Here is a 21792-nt window from a genome sequence, read left to right as displayed (position 1 = left end):
TTAGACTCTGAGACAGATGCTTACATTTACTTTCTTAACTATCTCCCTCTTAGAAATGTGCAGTATTTAATAAAAATATTAATGGAGGTCTTTTTGTTTAAGGACCAAAGTAATTGTCTTCACATGTGTATGCATTTTGACACTGAAAGGAATAGAGATCGCATTTGGTTTTATGATGTTGCTATGTGGTTTTCAATTAGGTTTCTGTTACGTTCTACAAACACAAAAACCAGCCCGTATCTAATTTAATACCTATAAATTTCCACAGATGGCCGCGGAATACTGTAGGCCAGTGGATAAAGATTTTGCCACATGTTTTCCAATTAGTAACTTAAAATTCTGTTTCTACCACATTCTTTTTTATTAAAAATTTCCATTCACTATTTTTTTTTCCAGAGAGCGTGATTATAAAATAATTCTCTCAGTTTCACTAGACAAAAAAGACATCTGATTTGAAACAGTTTGTAGGTTAGGCAGCCAAGTTAGACAGAAATAGTTCAGCTGCAACTGAATAAAGCCAATAGTGTTAGGATGGTTGTCAAAAGTCAGATTCATCAAGACCAGTTTGATCCCAGTGTATATAATGCACCACAGAAGATGGAATTTTTTTATTTTTCTGAGACAGGGTCTCACTCTGTCACCCAGACTGGAGTGCAGTAGCACAGTCATGGCTCACTGCAGCCCCAACCTCCTGGGCTCAAGAGATCCTCCCACCTCAGCCTCCCGAGTTGCTGGCGCATGCCCCCACACCTAGCTAATTTTTGTATTTTTCATGGAGACAGGGTTTCGCCGTGTTGCCCAGGTTGGTCTTAATGTCCTGAGCTCAAGCAGTCTTCCTGCCTTGGTCTCCCAAATTGCTGGGATTACAGGCATAAGCCACTGCATGCAGCCTAGAAGATGGAAATTTCTGAGGGTATAGCAGGAGAACTTTACTTCTAGAGCAGCCACGAAATTCCTTCTACGTCTGTCTATGCTCAAAAATGCAGCTTTGTTCTCCTGCCACCTGAGCTCATGCCAATGTGCTGAAGGGTACAACATTGAGTGCAAGATTTAAGGAAAAGAGCACAGAGTTTGAAATTAGACTGACTTGAATTCAAATCCATTTCTACCACTTACTACGATGAGATCTGGGGCAAATTATTTGACAAAAATAGAAATAATATCTTCCTCTTTAAAGGTTTGGGTAGACAAATATGGTAAGCACTCTCTCATTGCCCACCGTGAGCTCAATCTCGAGAAGCGACAAGGTCATAAACAAAGGTTGATACCGCAGAGTGATAAGAGCCAAATGATTAAAGGACCAAATGAAGTGAGAGTAACCATGTATGAGGGTTTAGGAAGGCTTTACAGAAGAGGGGACATGTGAGCTGGGTCTTAGAAAAGGCAGGAAGTAGCTTAAAATCTCTAGATTCTCAATGACATCTTGAGTGCCAACTGTGATGATGATCCATGGTTCCCTAGAGAACTGCATTGAAAAGAATTTTTAGGACACAACCGGGATCAGTGACCCAGCCTATGGCAATATCTCTAGGCAACGTCTCTGTATTAGTCAGGGTTCTCTAGAGGGACAGAACGAATGGGATAGATAGATAGATAGATAGATAGATAGATAGATAGATAGATATAAAGGGGTGTTTATTAAGTATTAACCCGCATGATCAAAATGTCCCACAATAGGCCATCTACAGGCTGAGGAGCAAAGAGAGCCAGCCTGAGTTCCAAAACTGAAGAACTTCAAGTCCGATGTAGGAGGACAGGGAGCAGCCAGCACGGGAAAAAGATGTAGGCTGGGAGGCTAGGCCAGTCTCTCTTTTCACATTTTTCTGCCATGCTGGCAGCTGATTAGATTGTGCCTACCCAGATTAAGGGTGGGTCTGCCTTTCCCAGTACACTGACTCAAATGTTAATCTCCTTTGGCAACACCCTCACAGACACGCCCAGGATCAACACTTTGTATCCTTCAATCCAATCAAGTTGACACTCAGTATTAACCATCTCAGTCTCCAAGAGGTAGTCCTCCCCAGTTTATGGGGTTTAACTAGTTGTTGGCCTCAGTTTACTGGCCCAGCATTCCAATTCTCCATGATACCCTGCCTAGCCTCCCCATAAGTGTGGGATCCTATTCTCTGTACTTCCAAATGTTGGCAGGTATCCTAATGTGAACTGATTGACCCACCAGAAGGTCAACGTCTATCTGGCTTTGGGCATTTCCTGCCACATCCTTTCCTGCTGTGGCACCCTCCTGCTAAGGTAGATCTCTGTGCACAGTGACGCCTGCCTGAATGGAGCCTGAACCCGTAACAAGTCTCAGAGGCAGGCCGTAGGAGGAGCTAGGCCAGCAGGAGCTAGTCATTCAAGCAGGTCTACTTCCCCAGGCCCCTGCCCAACTAGGTCCTCTGATGCCTTCCTTTACCCACCAGCTGCTGTTAGTGAGGATCCAACAGGCCTGCCTCTGGCCAGTCTGCAGTACGACAGGGTCCAATGCCCTCTCTCTGACTCTGAATCCAAGCCTAAAACAGGAAGAAAAATAATACCAACCCCCTCTTTCGTCATGTGCTTCTGTGGAACACCAGCGCTGAGTGCTCCAGGAAGCCCACAAAGAAAATCTAATCTATTTTTCATGTGACAGCCCTTCACACCTTACACACAACTTTCATGCCATCCTTGAATCATGTCTTCTCAGGCACAAATTACAAACACTATCAACACTCGAATTGGCACAAGTGCAGTCCATGCTACGCAGCTCCGCCTAGGCCTAAAGCACTCAGGGGTTCCTTTGTGATGTTTCCTGACACCACCCCTCCATAATCAGCTTTCACCCCTGCTTGGTGCCCACACACACACCACACACACACCACACACACACCTGCCTCCACCCCCAGCGATTCAGAGTGGAATCATTACTTTTAACTTCCATTCCCAGCAGGGAAAGTCTTTTTTTGCTTTGACCCCAGATATTCCTACACTTCAACTTCTGGTAGAAATTACTTATGCATAGCTACCTCCATCACAATCTCGGCTGACCAGCTCCCTGCTTCTGCCTAGAGCCTCTCTCAATCTTCTATGTGGCCTGTGGCATTGGACCCAGCTCTATAACTTTTTTCACCGTATACCAGTTCACTTAATTTGCCATTTGGGGGCATCTTCAGGCCCTGGAGTCTGCTTTTGCCCTCTATTTTTTTTCCTCAAAGGGAGTCATTGCCTTTTCCCAGCATCCCTCAGCCTGAACTCAGAGACCCTCCCTCCTCTTCACCCCCGACGCCCCACCCTCAGCTTCTGCTCCAGGCTGGTTATTACCCTTTTAGAAACTAGCCCCATTCCAAAGTTCACAAATATGAATGCAAGGTAGCTCCCACTGACTTCCATTGTTCATTATGTCCTGTATCTCTAGCCTGTTTCAAATGGAGAATCACCCTCTTCGCAAGGAGCGTGCTGCAGGTGTCATGAAGATCAGAGCTTCTCACTGGCTGTGTTAATGATTTCCATTTTCCCCCATCTCTGAGCCAAGCATCAGTGTGAGAGAACCTATGATACCTTAGGGCCAGAAAGGCATGCAAGCCAGCAATATTGCAGCGCTGACTTCAGCGCCAGTAAATGGGAAAGCAGCTAGTTACTGCTAAAACTGTGGATTGGAGCCAGTGGTCCATCTTTGAATGTCTTCAACTTCCTGTTTTCCTCTCTGGTTACAGGAGAGAGCTGCTGCTGGTGACAATCTCAAAATAAGCACCTTCAGAAAGCTTTTTAAAATATTTGTCCAAAAAAACATTGGCTGATATATCAACACCCATTTGTAACCCCTGTAATACATGCATTACTTCTCCAATACTTCAATCCCCATTCACCTTCCATTTTGCTCTTTTCCTTTTGCCAGTAACCCCCAGAAGTCAGATATGGTCATTCGAAAAGAACATGGTCTTTGGAATTAAACATGTGTCCTAATCCTGATTCTGCAACTTACTAGCTGTTTGGCTTTGGGCAAGTAATTAAACCTTTCGGAACTTAATTTCCTCGTTTATAAAATGGAGATGATGGCAGAACCTCTTCCACAGAGTTACTGTGGGAATTGCTTTAGCTAATGTACATCCATTTGTGCAGTATTTGAGGCTTCATAAGTTGGTTTCCTTTCCCTCTTCATTCAGGACAAGGAATTCATGAACTATATCTTAGTGAATCAGCTTCCTCAATAGGAAAGGAATACAAGGCTAGTCTTCATTTACAAATCCATATTTCCTGTCCTTAACATACTGCTATGGTTTACCATAATGCCAGGGGCAAAAAGGTGCTCACAGGAGAGTAGAGACTATGTTTGAGTTGCACGCTAACTACAAAGAAGGAGACAGAGTCTCACTCTGTTGCCCAGGTGGGAGTGCAGTGGCATGATCTTGGCTCACTGCAACCTCTGCCTCCCAGGTTCAAGCAATTCTCCTGCCTCAGCCACCCGAGTAGCGGGGATTACAGGAGCCCACCACCACACCCAGGTAATTTTTTTTTTTTTTTTTTTTTTTTTTTTTAGTAGAGACAGGGTTTCACCATGTTGGCCAGGCTGGTCTCGAACTCCTGACCTCAAGAGGTCCGCCCGCCTGGGCCTCCCAAAGTGCTGGGATTACAGGCATGAGCCACCGCACCTGGCCAGAAAAACTCATTTTCAGCAAGGTGAAGAGAAAAGCTACCAGTGGGATGCATGCTGCACGGCTAACATGACAAGGTGGAAGCAGGAAGAAAATGACAAGCAGGAAGAAAAAGGTGATGATGTCCTTCAGGAAAGTGCTGCTCATGAGAAGTCATCTGTGTTATCTTCTAAAATTTGCGATCATCCCCTGAAATATATTTCTTACAATTCCTCTCAGAGGAAGCTGCTTCTTTTTGTCCAAATAGATAGTATTACTTTGTGTGATTAATACCATGTTTCTGAAACACTGTTAGTTGCTATAGTAACTTGACTGTGTGTGATTAAAAGAGCATGTATCATCTCAATGGGTTGTTCCACGACTTCCAGTGGCAATAGGAGCTTTCTCAGTGTACTGCCGGCTTTGCTGACAGACTGTTTATTGGCAGCGTTTTGCTTTGTGTTGTCCGCCTGCAGCATTTTTCTGTAGGATTGCTAAGAACAGGCTGGGTCACCTGAGATGCTTCTCCTAAGTCCTCTGGAAGGGTACAGGAGAAAGAGAAAAGATGAAGCCAACATTGGAGCAGCAACAGTGGTGATAATCACACCGAGATGTAACAGGAGTACTTGGGATGGAGATGGATGGAAAAGTGGGTTTTCTGTGGGTGGCCTGGAGTGGTAGCAGGGACGTCCTAGAAGCAGCCTGGAAAGGACAGCCCCTGGTCAGAAAGGTGCACAGTGCCACCCTCTGCAGAGCCCTGATGTGAAAACCTGGAGATCTGACTTCTTAGCCTAGTTCAAGTCCTGCCTCGCCATAGGACCTTGGACAAGGTCCCTAAAGTCTCCGAGCCTTATGTTCTTCTAAAATCTGAGGATCATTTCCAATATCCTTTGCTAATCATCTATGATGGTAGAATCCTGAGTTAGATCAGAGCTTATGAACTATGGCCTAAAGGCTCTCTGAAGAATTAAAATCCCCAGGCCCTGCCTCAGACCTTATAAGTGAGAAGTTCTGGTTCAGAGGAACTTCAATCTGCACTTTTTCCAAATGCTTCAGATGATTATTGTACGAAATAAATGCAAGAACATAGAGTGTGCCCATGAAAGCAGATTTCCAAGAAGGGTCTGAATGTCAAGTTCCTTGCAATATGCAGCAGGATGGGTTAACTTCCTCTAAGAAAATTGCTTAGAAGAGAAATAGCTACCTCTTCTGCAGGTCTCATTAGCTTCCAGTGACATAGCATCAATCCCACATGTGCCTGGAAGTGAGAACAGGAGATTGTGTTACAGTTGGAACAGTGGTCACAGTCTCAAGTTGTTCTTGCTCAGAAACTTCTGAAGAGGGGTCTCTAGTACACTTTTCTTTTCTTTTTCTTTTTCTTTTTTTTTTTTCTGAGATGGAGCCTTGCCCTGTCACCCAGGCTGGAGTACAGTGGCGTGATCTTGCTCACTGCAACCTCTGCCTCCCGGTTCAAGCGATTCTCCTGCCTCAGCCTCCCGAATAGCTGGGACTACAGGCACCTGCCACCATACCCGGCTAATTTTCATATTTTTAGTAGACACAGGGTTTCACCATGTTGGCCAGGCTGGTCTCAAACTCCTGACCTCAAGTGATTTGTCCACCTCAGCTCTTAAAGTGCTGGGATTACAGGTGTGAGCCACTGCACCCAGCCTCTAGTACACTTTTTATTCACACTGCATTAGAAGCATAAGCTTTCCTGCTGATAGCGTTGTCAGATAAAATACAGGGCATCCTGTTTTCTTGTTTTTGTGGCGTTTTTTGGTTGAATCTGGCAAACTTACCATGAGCCCCTATCCCAGCATGTAGCCAAGGAAACATAAAAGAGGAAAGAATAAATTTTCCTCCCTTTTTACCAATAGGGTGTGTCATGTTTCTGGACTGAACAGAAAAAATTGACCTGAGATGAGAAAAAATATATATATATGAAATAAAACAAGGTTTCTAAGGAGCCTGAGTCATGGCTCTAACCAGGTGCAAACAACAAGTAAGGCAATGGGAATAACTTTCCGGAGAAAGCCATGTTCTCCTTTGCTTTGAGAACTCCCAAAAGAATAACTAAATTTATAAAGTCTTGAACTTCTCAACTGGCTTTGCTCCAGTTAACAACACAGTGACATCAATGTTTCACGAGCTCAGTCCCAACTAAGTTGAATGAACTATTAACTGTGGATACGGAAGAAGGCTCAGACTGGGTATAAAAATATAGTCAATTTTAGCAACAACCAACAATTCAAAAGAGAAAAAGAATAAAAATAAGAATTCAACAAAGAAAGAAAAAGATTGGAAGTAAGACTGGATTAAGATCAAAGTAGAATGAGTGGGACAGAGTAGGCAGCTGGAACTCACAGTCCAGAGTCTTTAAGGTTTAAGCCAAAAGATGAGTAGACCTGCACAAAGTTCTGATGATCAAATGGGAAAGAGATTAAGCTGGGACTGCCTAAGAAAACACAGATGGGTTCTGTATGGAAAACGGTCCTGGATGTCCTAGTTCCCCAACTCCTCAATTCATTTATTGGAGCATCTACTGTGTGCCTAAAGTTGTGATTATCCCTGTCTTGGAGAAGTTCCTGATCTAACTAGGTAGAAAAGACATGCATGCTTGAAATTATTAGAGGTGAAACCAAGTATAGCTATGAAACAAAAGAGGAGAAATCCACGAGCTTAAAGTGTCAGCAAATCTGACGGTGGAGGCAAAATTTGGGATTAGTCTTGATGGGTGTGACAATGAAGGATTATAATATTTGGAGGTGAGAAATGAAGAAATGGGAAGTAGCAGGAATGCGAGTACCATGCTGAAGAAGAGACATGAGCAGAGGCGTGTGCTAGGAGCCATGTTGGAGGAGGAACTGACTCTGGAGCCCCTGGCCACTCTATCCGGCTCCCTTGTCATCCACAGTCTTGCCTGTGACAAGTGGTTCCAAGGAGGAGGGTTGCAACGCCCAGGCTCCCCCTGCATGGTAGGCCAAGCCCCTTTTGGGTTCATGGATTATTTGGGCTTGGAGCTGCCCCAGGACCCTGATCCCAGAAATGGAGATGATGATGAAGGTTGGAATCCCATGTGACAGTTGGTCCTCTGATTTGGGGGCAGTTCACCTCTCTGAGTACTACAGACATAGAATCTTCTCTCATAAATGACATGGGAATTAGAAGAGGCTTTCATTTGGTGCCCAGATGCACTCCCTTACCCTCATATTTGCTTTCTCCCCTTTCAGCGGAACCCCGGGTCATAGTCTTTCTTGTACAATTCTTCTGCCATAGGGGAAGCTTTTTTGAGCTAAAGGGTATTTTATTTTTATAAGATTGAGACTGAATGAAGAGGGCAAGTCTTATCTCAGTGAACAACAAATGGTAGAATTTTAGGCAATAGCAGAGGAAATATTAAGCTTATATAAAGTAGTCCATTATCTAAGGGTGTCTGAAAGGTACCTGGAGGGCATCACTTGTGTAAGGCACTCTCTGTCACTCAGATCTGCCCATCAACTATGAAAAAGAGTAATCTCTCTAAAGATGTTTAGAGGAGTGGAAATGATATACTATCCACTGAGGCTCCTGATTGGTGTTTTTCTTCATGGCTACCATCCAAAGGCCTAGAGAGCAAGAAGCACAGTCTTCCACAGAAAAGGAGCTCATTCTAGGTAATAATCATTACCTTACTTTGAAAGACCTATTCGTTTTTTTTTAACAACCCCTTTTGAAATGCTTACTATGTGCTGTCTTGTGTGTTTGTTAGCACTTGCTGGGGCAAGAAAGAGAGAAAGAGAGCAAGAGCAAGCAAGAGAATGAGCAAGGGGGAGAGACAGAGGAAGAGACACAGACAGAGTTGCCTAAGCAGTGATTCTCAAAACTTGATGGGTATAAGAAGCACTGGGAAGATTTTTGGAAATACAAACTCCTGGCCCCACCACTCAAAGATTCTGATTCAACGCATCTGGGAATAAGTGTGAATTGGTGTTTTTAGTAAGTGACCCAGTGGATTCAGTTACAGGTGGTCCCTGACCACACTGAGAATCACTGCAAAAGACAATAACAGGATGTGGAGGTCAAAAATAGGAAACCTTAAGTGGAAACCAAATGTGCTGAGACTATACATTGGTTAAGCAAGAATCACAGAGGGCTTAGTGTGCCAGGCCTAGGTGTGCCAGCTGATAGCAACATAGGACCACAGGTGTGTGTTTTCCCCACATTTGCAAAATAGTTCATTTGGAAGCCACAGGGAAAAGCTCTATATTTCAGGAAGGCAGATCAAAATGGCTGCAAGGGACGTGGTTGCCAACATTGGGGTTGCCATGACAACTGTAATGCCTGTGATAGTTGAGCTGAGAAAGCAGGCGGTAAGAAAGGGGAGGTGAAGAACCTGTGTTAAACAGCATGCCAATTGATTTATAAAGGACTGCTATGTCTGTGTTAACCCACGTTATATCCCAAATAGTGGTGAAGAAATCAAAAGGAAAGAGGATGGATACCTTCCAAGAATGACTTGCAGGTAATGGCTGGTGCAAAGCTGACTCATGAAGCATTATTTGTCCTTTTGTGGTTTTTCAGTTTGTTTCCAGTATTTCTAATATTGGAGACTCCACCAGATACTGAATGAATCAATCAAAAATTTGAACACAATATTCAAATGCAAGGATGATAAAGACAACTCCGGAAAACGACCACCACAGATTTTTATTTAATTAAAAATATTATACATGTTGTTGCATTTTCATGGAAAATATTGAGTTAAAAACACAAGCAGTGTTAATTTTCAGAAACCTTCATGCACCCCATTCTGCCACCTGCTGCCTTCTTCTGTCCATGGCATTAACCACATGTTTGTAAGAATTGGGCCCATCGAACTGGAGCTTCCTAGAAGGTCATACCTGTGGGTCTCCTGGAGTAAGCCATTGTCTTCAAGACAGTGTTCTGTCAAGTCAACTCAGATACCACCAGCTGTGGCTTCCTTGCAAACCATTGAAAGGAACTGGTGTAAAAGCCCCAAAGCACATGTCAACACCAACTCAGCACAATTCCACGCAATCAAGCACTGCTATGACCTCATCCAGTTTCCAAGCTAGTTAGCAAATGACCTTGTGTTCTACCTGGTGTATTAGTGTCCTGAGCTCCTCCACAAAACTTCCCTGGGACCCAAGGTGGAAAGACACTGCCATATAGTGTTTATATTCAAACCATTAACAAATACACAAAAACATACGTGGCTCTATGCACAATACTATCAAATTAAAATATATATATATATATATATATATATATATATATATATATATATATATATATATATGTATATATGCAATACAACCTTTAGCATCACTGGCTAAAACATAGCCATGTGAGTATTTTTGAAGCCTTGATGTAATCATACATTTGTTTAAGAAATAAAAGGCATAAAATTTAACTTGAAAAGATCATTTCGGCTATAAACGTCTCATACGTAAATATAAGGTGTGTACAATATAGTCTTCTCCCTCGCTCCCTGCCTTTTCCTTCTTTGGGCTGTGCCATTCCCTAACTTAATTCCTTGACCCACATCATAATGCTGCATCCCCATATTAATCCCAAGTGATGCTTTCACTGAAAGTGGAGCTGATGTGACAGAAACATCCCAGCTCTGTCTTTCTACTCCTTTGCTTTAAATTGTAGTACACGTAATTTGGGTTCCGCATCCAACTTTATATTAAAGAGAGATGAATTCCCCCCAAATGCACAAACAAATAAAAATAGCTGGATAGCAAAAAAGTTAGAATTGCCTCAGCTCTTGGAAATTGAAATATGGACTCTCTTCTTCATAATGGTTTCTCAATTGATGGGAATAAAATAAGGCTGAAATTGCTTTTCACATTCTGGCTCTGTTGGGGGCATTTTCACATAGACCCCTGTTGTAAGAGGGCTTCTTTTCTTTAGCTGTCAAACACAAAAAGAAACAGTAATTACTACTGAGGAATACGGAAGCCACTTCTAACCATAATAGAACTCAACACATATTGGGTCCCTAGCTGGTTAAAAATGAATGTTCACAGCATACAGAATTATAAACCTCAGGAGATTTTCTTGATTCAGCTATTAAAATTTATTTTAGATAAATAACTGTGATTTTGATGTTAAATGGCAATCATTTGCCTTGAATGGAAGATAGGAGAAAGAGACTTTGAGAAAGCTTCAGAAAGAACACCCAGAAAGCCTATGATAATTGATCAATCTTGTCTGCAAGGGAACAAGCTTGATAAGATAATAAGCTTTAGTTATCCTGTTTGAGAGCTGTATTTCTCATCCCCACTGCTGAACCTACAGCAAAGGACATCTCTGTCAGGTTGGGTAGAGGATGTTGGAATAGAGTATATCTTTGTGTATGTGTATAAGAGACAGAGAGGGAGAAAGAGAGAGAGAGAAAGAGCGAGAAGAAGGAAGAGGAAGAGAAGAAGGGAGAGAGGGAGAAGGGAGAGTTTGTAATGGCAAAGCTGGCCTTAGGCAGAGGTGTCTGAGAGGGACTGTCAAAAAGAAATCCTGACAGGAGGCCTGATTCCATAATTCTACCTCTTCTACCACCAATACCAACACCTGTGATAAATAAAAACTGGGACTTTCACTTCCTGGCTGAAGGGGAAGGCAAAACGTCCCAGTCAAGCAAACTGGATAACAGGGATAGGTGTCATGTGAGCAGCTACAGCTTCGACAAGGAAGGCACCAGAGTGGCACCCAGAGGTGACTTCCAGGTGATGGAGAGGGACATGGAGAAGGAGAATAAAGACCATCCAAGTGGTCCTCTCTAGCAGCATTCTGCCCAGCCTAATCTCATGTTTCAGGGCTGTTAGCTTAAGTACAGTTGTCATGAAGACAAAGAGCAAAACAGCTGCCCCATGTTATTGCAACGGTTACTCAAATTGAAACCCTGCTCAGAAGCACATGAACATTCAATGTCAAACAAATTCATCTAAAATATTAGTCATTCTGAAACCTCAAATGCCAATGCCTACGGTTCTAGTGCGTTCTTTACCACTGTCCTTCCTCTTCATTTATTGCCTCATCTCATCTCAAGAACACTAAACTCAACATCATCTTTTGGCCAGTTGATACCACTAAAGGTATCCCCATCAGACATGGTGCACCATCAGCACCACACTCACCATTTTGCTCAAAGAAACAGCTGTGAGGAGAAAGCTATAAAAAAACAACCCCGAACTAACTGCTGCAAGGATCCAGAGGAGGAAGTCAGAATCTGGGCACGGTTCTGGATCTGCAACAGAAAACAAAGCAGAGCCTCCCTGAGACAGTTTTAAACTCTAGGGCTCTACTCCCCAACATTGGTGAAAAAAGGACATTAGAGCTTCCAGGCCTTGAGGTCCACCCCTAAATTGCATGGGTAGCCCACCAATAGGTTTGGCTATTTGGGACTACTTCCCCAGGAGCATCATATCATATCAAAAGTACAGATCAAACGTCATGATGGTTAGCACTCCAGAGCGAGAGCCCCAACTTCCCCAAATCATTTTATTTTACAGTCAGAATGCTATTAAGGTTGCCACCCACAATAAGCAAGGCTACCATGTGGTACAGAACTCTTAAAGAGAATGTCCACAGTCCTAAAAGTAAACCTCCTGAAATTAAGGAACAAAACTGTTTTTGTGCATAGAAGACTGCAATGCAACAGGTGTCAACTCAGTGAAATGGCTTTGCTCACCAATTACATAAATCTGGGTTCCGTTGCCTATGCCCAGGTAGTATGGCGGTGGGTACATGAGCTCCACCTTGCAGATGTAGAGTCCCGTGTCCATGGCCCTCAGTCCTTGGATAGTGAGGTTCACTTGATTTCCACTGGAGGTGCCCGTGCAGATGGAATCATCTAGGAAGGTCAACTCATTCCCCATCATGTAGGTTGCCGCACAGACTTCAGTCACCTGGCTGTCAGCCTGCCGAAGCACTGTCACCCGGACCTCAGTGGCTTTGCCTGGAGATGCATACTCACACACAAAGCTGGCGATGCCTCGGCTGCTGGCCAGTACCACAGCAGGCTGGGCCACGTGCATTGCTAGCATGGAAAAGCCAAAGGGAACTCAGTGAACTCATGCTCCTTCATGGCCAAGCCCAGGCAAGCCCTTCTGCCTTCTAGCTTCATCCCCACGGCCTTTTCTCCCCCCTTCAACGAATCTATCACTTACCCCTTCCCCTCTCCACACCCCCAGCCTCCCCTCCATCTCTCAACTGTTTTCCAGCTACTCTCCATAAAGATATTTTCTTACTGAGAAATAGATTCTTCAAGATGGTTGTGGCAGGAAGAACACTGATATGACAAACAGAAGACCTGGCTCTACCATGAAATATGTGATTTGGGGCAAGTCACACTTCCCCCATGTCCTTCATTTTTTTCACATATAGTAAGAGATAATTAGATGAGATGATATGTTCTCTGGTATTCTAAGGTTATGATAGAATGATAGGAGCTATATAGCTCCGGAACTATAATGAGTGGTAGGGGAAATTCTGAAGGTTGAGGTACAGAATCTTGCTTTATCTCTCAAAGTATATGTCAAAAACTTCTGCCTACTTAGTGAGCTGGCCCTGAACCTCTGTCACCCAGGAGTAGCTGTGTCTTGATGCACTGTACCAGCCTCCGCCTTCCCTGGCATTGTTGTAGAGTGGAAGATGTTGTTAGATGAAGGAAGCCACAGAGCCGAGGGCACCAGGTCGCTTCCTCTCTAGGTTGAGGCAACCCTGCTGTTAACTCCTGTGGGCTTCCCCTGACACCACCGCTGCCTCTCTGCCCTTTATTTCTCCTTCCCTTGAACACTCCCATGCTCCTTTGTTCTCTTTTCCCACAGGATAAAGGAGACCAGCTCTCCATACAGAGAGGCTTGCATCAACTCAAAAATAGTGGCTGCATGCCAAATTACCTTCCTGTAACTAACCAGGCCCCTCTCCAGTCAGTCTGACAAGTGAAACTCAAAACTTGTGTTGCATGATGTCACTCATCTGCTCAATCCCTTTGACACTTTACTAACACTGATCGCAAAAACAAATACAATAAATAACATTCAATGAGTCCCCCATGATCCAATTCCAATCTATCACTCTGGTCTGAATTTCTAGGACACACTTTCCTGCTTATAAATCACCCTATATTAGAGACACTAGTCCCTTCCACCAAGCCACTTGCACGGGACATCTGTCCTCAGAAGAGAAAACAGTTTGGCAGCAGCCATTGTCATGTCTATTCCAGCAGCTCTAGCTAGCTAGACTACAGCTTCCTTCCCTAACCCTCACCTCTGCCTATCAGAGATGCCCTCTGAGCATCCTTAGCACTGTGATAACTCCATTGCAGTAGTTCATTACTTTCTGCTCTGTATTAAAGTTATTTGTGAGCTAATCATATCTCCTCACTCTTTTACTTGTGGTTCATGAACTCCTGTGAGCAGTGATTATAGCCCACCCAAGTGAGCACTCAATAATCTTTATTGTATTGACTCTAAGCTTAAGAAATCCTAAATGTCCTGCCCTCTCCCCAAGCAAGCTCACACTCATCACCACTAAATGCGGTCACACTCAACTTTCCAGTATTGGGAGGGTCCTGTTACTGGTTGAGATAAATTTACTTTAGGAAATTTAAATACTTCTAAGAGTGTTTATTTAATCTTTACATATTTAAAACATGTAAAAATAAGAAAACATATATGAATATTTCTTCTCCAGTAAAAATTAAATCATCAAATATCTTTTGAGTACCTACTTCATACAAACTACATGGTTTCTTAACCAAGAAGGTCTAGAGAGAGATAAGGTTGAGATTCAATGGATATACTCATCATTTTAAGCCGTGTAACAAACCTGGTGTCAGTCTCTGAAGAGCTGAAAACTGAGGATCTGCATCTGAAACCCACACGTAGGTCAGGCAACAATTAAGTATTGTATGCCAAACAGACTGGTGGCTTTCTTTCTTTCCTTTTCCTTGTCTTTTTTTTTTGGCAATTTCAAACTTTTATTTTTAAATAATTGGCTAATTAGCTAGTAGAATTGATTAAGAGAACCTTAAAACCTTGAATTAAGTAAAGAAGGCATTCTTCCCACAATTTCCCTACATTTTAAACAAGCTGGCTAATTCATTTATAAAGTATATGAATCCGAGGACCTTAAAACCTTGAATTGTATAGCAAAAAAACTCTTCCCAGGATTTGCTTAAGTCAATTTTTTTTAAAGGAACTTGTGAGCTCATCCTGAAACCCAGCTCAAATGTATTCAGGACTATGGCTATCCTTTCCCTCTTAAATCACTTCCAGTCTCATAGAAGGGTCTGAAATTGCCTGTGTCTCTCTACTAAACCAACTCACATGCATTCATGAAGCCCCTACTAAATACCTGGCGCTCTGTTCTGAGCTATCTCTTTGCCTTATTTGCTGCCGCCCAACTGCTCCCTGCTGGCCCTGGAATACAGAGCCAGCCAAGCCAGATTGGAGTTTTACCTTTAACTTCTGGCTTTGCTATAAATCACTGCCTTTGACTGCTGAAACAAATGAAACCCAGGTAGGAGAAACACCTCCTCCATCTTCATGCTCCAAAAGTCTCACTCACCTTTGCAGAAGACAGGGATGAAGAGAAGAAAAAACAGGAGAGTGCAGGGCCAGGTCCTGGTAGCCAGGTTCAGCTGAGCCTTGTGCCGCTGAAATCCAAGGCAAGCCATGGCTTTATGGGAGCGGTGTTCAGGTCTTCAGGAAGTAGAGCAAAACCTTTCAGGATCCTGAAGCTTTGAAATGTGTTTGAACCCACACAGAATCAAGGACTTTATATAGATAGCTTTGATCCCAGATATGTATTACACATGTGCACACACAGAAGGCACTTGAATAGAAAGCCTTTTTGTTTTGGTTTTACGAGAAAGGAAGCCGTGGGTTTAGCTGTTACGTCGAAAAGACAACCTCAAGCACTCAACTGAACAAAACAAGCCAATCCATGGATGGAAAATGTATTCAATTTGAAACTGAAGCTTCATGTTCACTTTGAGGATCTGGATAACTAAGTGGAGACTTGGAGAATTTCCTGGAGTACAAGGGTCCTCCTAAATCCCAATTTTATTCAATCTTCTGGGCATCCTTAACCATCCAGTCCAATTCATTTCATTGACAACTCCAAAACTACTAGGCTGCTAACTTTCTGAGCCCTTGGGCTAATGGCAGGATTTGTCTAGGCATCATTAATAAAAACTGTATTCTATCTGTGAAGCACCATCCTTCTAATGGTCCCTTGACAGCTTTACAAATAAGTTTATTTCTCCTAAATCCATTTAGCATTTGGTTAAGAGAAAAAAACTAAAATCACAAGAAATAAACTGAAAATAGGCGGAAAAGAAGCTGCCTCTGGTTTTGCAGAAGGAAAGAATTCAGGTGTTCTTAAAAGCCTTAACTCAACAGAGACAAAACAGAGTTGAAGAAGGTCCAAAGAAAAGCCAACCCAAATGATTCAAGAGATTAGAGCCGTCCATAAAAGGATAGACTTTTTTTTCTAATACAAATTTTTCAAGCAGAAAATTCAAAAGTGAAGATTAAATATAACCAGAGTCCTTAAATTTGTGACAGCTGTAGACAGGACCAATGATCTAACAAAAAGAATTTGAAACATTGAGGACCTTCCTTAAATCTGGAGAGTTTTCATACATTTTAATAAAGAAAGAAACATTCATGGGGAACCTGTAATATGCCCGGAATTCTGTGCACTTAGGATTGAATGATGACAAAACAAAAACATAGTTGATACCTTAAGGGGCTTCTAGAAGGCTGACATGCAAACAGACAGTTGTAACAGGGAATATGACATTTGCCTACTCCAGTCCGTCCATGGTTTCCCATTGTCCACACCTCAGCACAGCAGAGGAGACTCTGCAGAATACTCACCAAATGCCTCCCTCTTTGGCCTGTACCCCAGCATTCCCTCCCATTCCCCCTTCCTGCATTTGTCTTTCCTTCCACGTGCCTCTTTCAGGCCTCATCACCTTTACCCATGCTGTTCCTACTGCCTTTTTTCTCCTATTATCTTATTTTATACTCCTTCTCATCCTCCAGGACTTAGCTCAGCTGTCATCTCCTCCAGGAAGCCTCTTCTTTTTTTTTTTAAAATTTTATTATTATTATACTTTAAGTTTTAGGGTACATGTGCACAACATGCAGATTTGTTACATATGTATACATGTGCCATGTTGGTGTGATGCACAGAAGCCTTTTCTGACCTGCCTGTTTTCTATACACTGCTACACATTATAGAAACCTTCAAGCCCCAGCTCAAGCGCCAACAAGCAATAACAACCTAATGGGCACTTCCTAATGCCAGACTGGGCAACAGAGGTTTTTTAAAAAGTGAAAAACAAATGTTCCTGCCCTCAAGAGGAACACACAGCAGTGGCAGGGACAGACAGCTAAACCCATGATCATGATAGAGTGAGATCAATGCTGGAATTGAAGTATTATGTAGAGGAGCAGAAGCCAGTGGTTCAGCCTGTGGAAGTCAGAAAGGGCTTCTCAGAAGACGAAAAGCCTGAACTTATTATTGAGAACAGAGAAAAGGGTGGATATTCAGACAAGAAGAATAACATGGGCTAAAGTTGGAAACGGCATGAAGAGTTCATTATGGTCACAGGACAAAGCTTGTCTGGGGATGAGCAGAAGGTGCAAGCGGATGCTCTTAGCAGCAAGGGCCAATGAAACATAAGGAGCAAACTGGTATGACTGAGTTCACATTTGGGGGAAATTTTAGGGATGGGGAGGATGGGTTCAGGGAGAAATGTAACCAGGAAGACTGGGAAGAAGACTATTGGAATACGCCAGGCACCAGGATTTGGAAAGCTTTCTGAAGGGGGCAAAATAGTAAATATGTTATGATTTGCAAACGGTGGGGTCTCTGTTGCCACTACTCAACTCTGTCATTTTAGAATGAAAGAAGCCATATATTATATGTAAACAAATGGGTGTGTGTGCATTCCAATAAAACTTCATTTACGAAAATAGGTGAAGTCTGGATTTGGCCTGTGGGCCATGGTTTGCCAACCCCTGGTCTAAACTAAGGTAATGACAGCTGTGAAGACGAGGTCCCTATGGGACTAGTCCACAATCAGTGAGTGGAAGGAGAAGTTTAGAATGAATGACACCAGAATTATGGTTTGAGAAGTACTGTGGTGCTGCAGAAATTATTCAAATGTCAAGTTTTCTTTCTTTTCTTTTTTATTTTTTTGAGACAGAGTTTCACTCTTGTTTCCCAGGTTGGAGTGCAGTGGCGCGATCTCGGCTCACTGCAACCTCTGCCTCCTGGGTTCAAGTGATTCTCCTGCCTCAGCCTCCCAAGTAGCTGGGATTGCAGGCACCCACCACCACGCCCAGCTAATTTTTTGTATTATTTTAGTAGAGATGGGGTTTCGCCATGTTGACCAGGCTAGTCTCAAATTCCTGACCTCAGGTGATCTACCCGCCTCGGCCTCCCAAAGCGCTGGGATTACAGGCGTGAGCCACCGCGCCCAGCAAGTTTTGTTTCTTTCAAGTCCATAACAACCCTACAAGACAAGAGTTACCATTTTTCCCATTTTATAAAGAAGGAAATCAAGGCATTGAAAGTTAAGGTGACTTACCCAATCACCCGTAGGAAGTGGCAGAGCCAGGATTTGAAGCCAGTGATACCTTTATCACTATGCTAAAGCAAAGATTTTGAAGCCCAAGATAACTGGATTTGTATCCTAGCATGGGGACTTGCTTACTGTTGACCTGGGGCTCAAAGCCCAATGTCCTCCAGATAATGGCATCTAATTCTCAAGATTATTGAAAAGATTAAATGAGATAATGCATGTAACATGTATAAAAGGCCTATTGTAACAGATAGCCACTCAATAAATAGGCCTTTCTTATTATAGGGTCAATGAGAAGACAGAGGTGCAATTTACTGGAATAAATAACAGGAAGAGCAGGTGAGAAAGTGAAATGACAGCTTTCATCTGAGTATGTTGAGTTTATGGCATCCATGGAAAATAGTTGCCAATAGGATTCTGGAGCACAGGAAGAGACATTAGTTTAGGCAACTATGAAGCCACTGATGAAAATGTCACAGGCCAAGCCACAAAACGAGCATTCTTTAAACATTTGTTAAATAGGTAGGTAAATGAATGAAGACAGTTTAACATAAGAAGAGATGAGGGTTGTAATTAGAACTTTCAAAGACGTCTTACCAGATTCCTTAATTATGCTCTTATGAAACTAATTCTGTCATAGCAAGAAAATTCAAATGGTTGTAAAAAAAATGCTGGGTAAAAGAATCTTGGTGAGAAAAGATATATTCACATATACCACCCCACAGATTACTTGATAATTACAATAGGGAAAAGATAATTGATAAATCTAGCAGATACTGCTTTAACCAAGTGATCCCAACTGAAGATTACTGTGATGGAGTGTTCTGACATAGGGTACCTCCAGATACAATACACTGAGAAGGACACAACAACTTTGTGTAGTTATTGCCAAAATTGTTTTAACTGAATCTAAGCATGAAGAAATAATCAGACAAATCCATATTCTGCAAAATAACTGGCCTAGATTCTTCAAAAATGTTAACATCACAAAAGATTAAAAAGGGAAAAGCCTGGAAAACCATTCTAGATTAAAGGAGAAAATAGAGACATGATGACAGAATTTAATGTGTTATTATTGATTGAAAAAAATAATACAAAGCAGATTACTGAGAAACTGGGGGAAATTTGAGTATAGCCTATATTTCATAATAGCATTGCCTTAATGTTTAATTTCCTGAATGTGATCATCGTACTGGGGTTATGTAGAGAACCATCCTTGTTTATAGATAATACTTAGGTATTCGAGGTTTAAGTGTCAGAATGTCAGCAAGTACTCTCAGAAGGTTCAGCAAAAATATGTGTCTGTGTTAGCAGAGAAAGATAAAAAGAATTAAACAGCAGTGATGGAATTTTAACAATTGGTGAATCTAGGTGAAGAATATGTGTGTATTCATGGTACTATTCTTACAAATTCTTTGTAAATTTGAGGTTTTTCAAAAAAATTCGAAGTAAAAATTATAAGGCCAACTATTTATATTATTGATAATATGGTAGGCAATAAACGAGGGATGAGCAAACTGAAATTTAGAGAGGAAAAGTGACTTGCCGAAGGTGATTCTCCATCCCCTTTCCTCAGATCCAAGCTCCACCTGGGACAGACCCCTGTAGAAAATGTCTCATTAGTTCCCTGTCAGGGTGGCTTCTGAGGGCTTAGCATTGGAAGTTCCCAGCACATCAGAAAGCACAAGGTGGAAGTCCAGGTCTTTCTTCCCTGCCCTCTCCCAGGTTCAGGGCCATGTGTCTGGTAGTAACAGTACCTCTCCACAAGTACAGCTCTTGTTTGGTGGCCCTTGTTCTATGATGCCCATTCTTACTCTTACCTCCCCTAGGGTAAGAGTAAGAATCTTACCCTAGATTCTTAAAGAATCTTAAAGAATCTTAAAAAAAGAGTAAGAATCTTTCCATCCTAGGGGTGCTATCAGCTTCCACTGTTGCTAGTGTCTGGGTGCATTACGAACCTCCACCCCTAACCCTTCTTAATATTTCTCAAAGTAGTTCTTTCATTGAATCTTTTATTTGAACCCCCTGTTGCCTGTTGAGACCCTCATTGATCTAGTGCTACATTTGGTATGTGGCAAAAACTAGATTGAAATCTTCGTCTTCTCATTCTCATTCAGTACTGATTTTTCCCGTTATCTTATGTACAGCAATAACATGTTGTATCATATAGGTTTGTATTTATTATAGTCAATCATGTGTAATTCTGTCTGTCTTCCTCCAAATTCTATTTCCACAGCACTTACAACCTCAACACACACAAAGCACCTAGTCAAGGCCTCCTTTGTACCTAGTAGATAATAGAGAATTTCTGCATTTCAGTTTAGATCTCAAGCATTTTTATTTCTCTCGCATCTCATTTCCAGCTCTGGGGAAAGTGCTAATCACTAAGGACACAATCATAGGCCTGATAGGTACTAATGAGCCCAGCAGAGTGATTAAAAGCATGGCTGGAGTCAGACAGACATGAGTTCAAGTCCTGGCTCTGCAGCTTCTGGATATGTGATCTTGGATGACATTTTTTAACTTCTCTGATCCTCAGCTTCCTCATCTGTAAAATATGGGTAATTTACAGGAATTATCTTGTATCATTATTGCGATGATTCAATGAGCCTATACCAATAAGTTATTGAACACTGTGCCTATCATATACTATGTTCTCAGGAAAAATTAGTTTACATATTAAACACAGAGAACGCTATGGATTTTAAATTTCAGCTGTTATATAAACCCTCTTTCATTATCATTTCTACTGAATAGATGGTATTTTAGATTAAAATCAGATACTAATTATTCTAATACTCACATATTGAATTTCTGCCCTGTCAGTATTTCCATGAGTGTCTGGAACCAAACGGCTTATTATTTTTTACCTGATTGAGTCTAAAAACTCACAACTCTACACATAATCTAAGAATTATGTATTATAAGCTCTCAATTATTCAGTGGCTGAATATTCAAATGTCTAAGGGTACCACATCCTTGGATATTTTCATTTCAGGTTAGGAAGGGGAAAGTCAATTTGCTAATTATTTTTACCACTCCAATTATAAAAGAAAAAAAGGTGGGGGGTTGGTGGTAAAGGAAATGAAAATAATCGGCTAAAATTAGGACTTGGGGATTCACTGTGATTTCATTTATACTCACTATCTTCTTATATCCTAATAGCTTGAGTAAACCCCAGATTGGTTTTGTAGTACTCTTAGTGGTTACTGGGTTTGAAAGATCTCTCAAGATTTGCATAATTCATAGTGGTGCCTATGGTGAAGTATCTTCAGAATTCCAAAAGAGGTAGAGTTTAAAGAGTAACTGGGTTGTTTACTTAATTGTAAAATTCCTCAGCTTATATAGCTCATTCTGAACTGAATTCAGCTTTTCAGATTTTTGAACTTTTTCCCTAAACCTCCTCCAATTATCCTTTACCCAACTAGTATACCAAAACAATTTTAAAAAAATCAACCTTTTATTGAAAGAGTTGCACCTGGCATTGACTGTGGTACCTACTGCAAAACATCCTTTGCTTGATGGTTTCCGATGTAATGGGAAGAATGAAAAGTCTAATATTTGCATAGTGTGCAG

The 21792-nt window shown here is 41.9% G+C and overlaps 1 protein-coding gene across 2 annotated transcripts, besides 2 other annotated features; it reads right to left on the bottom strand.

Moving 5' to 3' along the window:
- Positions 9272-15466, bottom strand: CTLA4 (cytotoxic T-lymphocyte associated protein 4). 2 transcript variants are annotated; one of them, NM_005214.5, is made up of 4 exons: positions 15186-15466; positions 12304-12651; positions 11750-11859; positions 9272-10529 (listed from the first exon to the last, which is right to left on the bottom strand). In NM_005214.5, the coding sequence occupies exons 1-4, from the start codon at positions 15292-15294 to the stop codon at positions 10425-10427; spliced, it is 672 nt and encodes a 223-aa protein (NP_005205.2). In that variant the 5' UTR covers positions 15295-15466; the 3' UTR covers positions 9272-10424. The 2 variants fall into 2 exon arrangements, with proteins under 2 accessions (NP_005205.2, NP_001032720.1); NM_001037631.3 differs by lacking the exon at positions 11750-11859.
- Positions 11364-11453: a silencer, noted in NCBI's record as "silent region_12259". NCBI's record gives its function as "represses an Ori minimal core promoter by ATAC-STARR-seq in GM12878 lymphoblastoid cells {active_cell/tissue: GM12878}" and the evidence as "EXISTENCE:reporter gene assay evidence [ECO:0000049][PMID:35858748]".
- Positions 11674-11783: an enhancer, noted in NCBI's record as "active region_17016". NCBI's record gives its function as "activates an Ori minimal core promoter by ATAC-STARR-seq in GM12878 lymphoblastoid cells {active_cell/tissue: GM12878}" and the evidence as "EXISTENCE:reporter gene assay evidence [ECO:0000049][PMID:35858748]".

This window comes from Homo sapiens, chromosome 2 (assembly GCF_000001405.40).
Source record: "Homo sapiens chromosome 2, GRCh38.p14 Primary Assembly".
Taxonomy (NCBI): Eukaryota; Metazoa; Chordata; class Mammalia; order Primates; family Hominidae; genus Homo; species Homo sapiens.
This window is presented reverse-complemented; position numbering and strand designations above follow the sequence as displayed.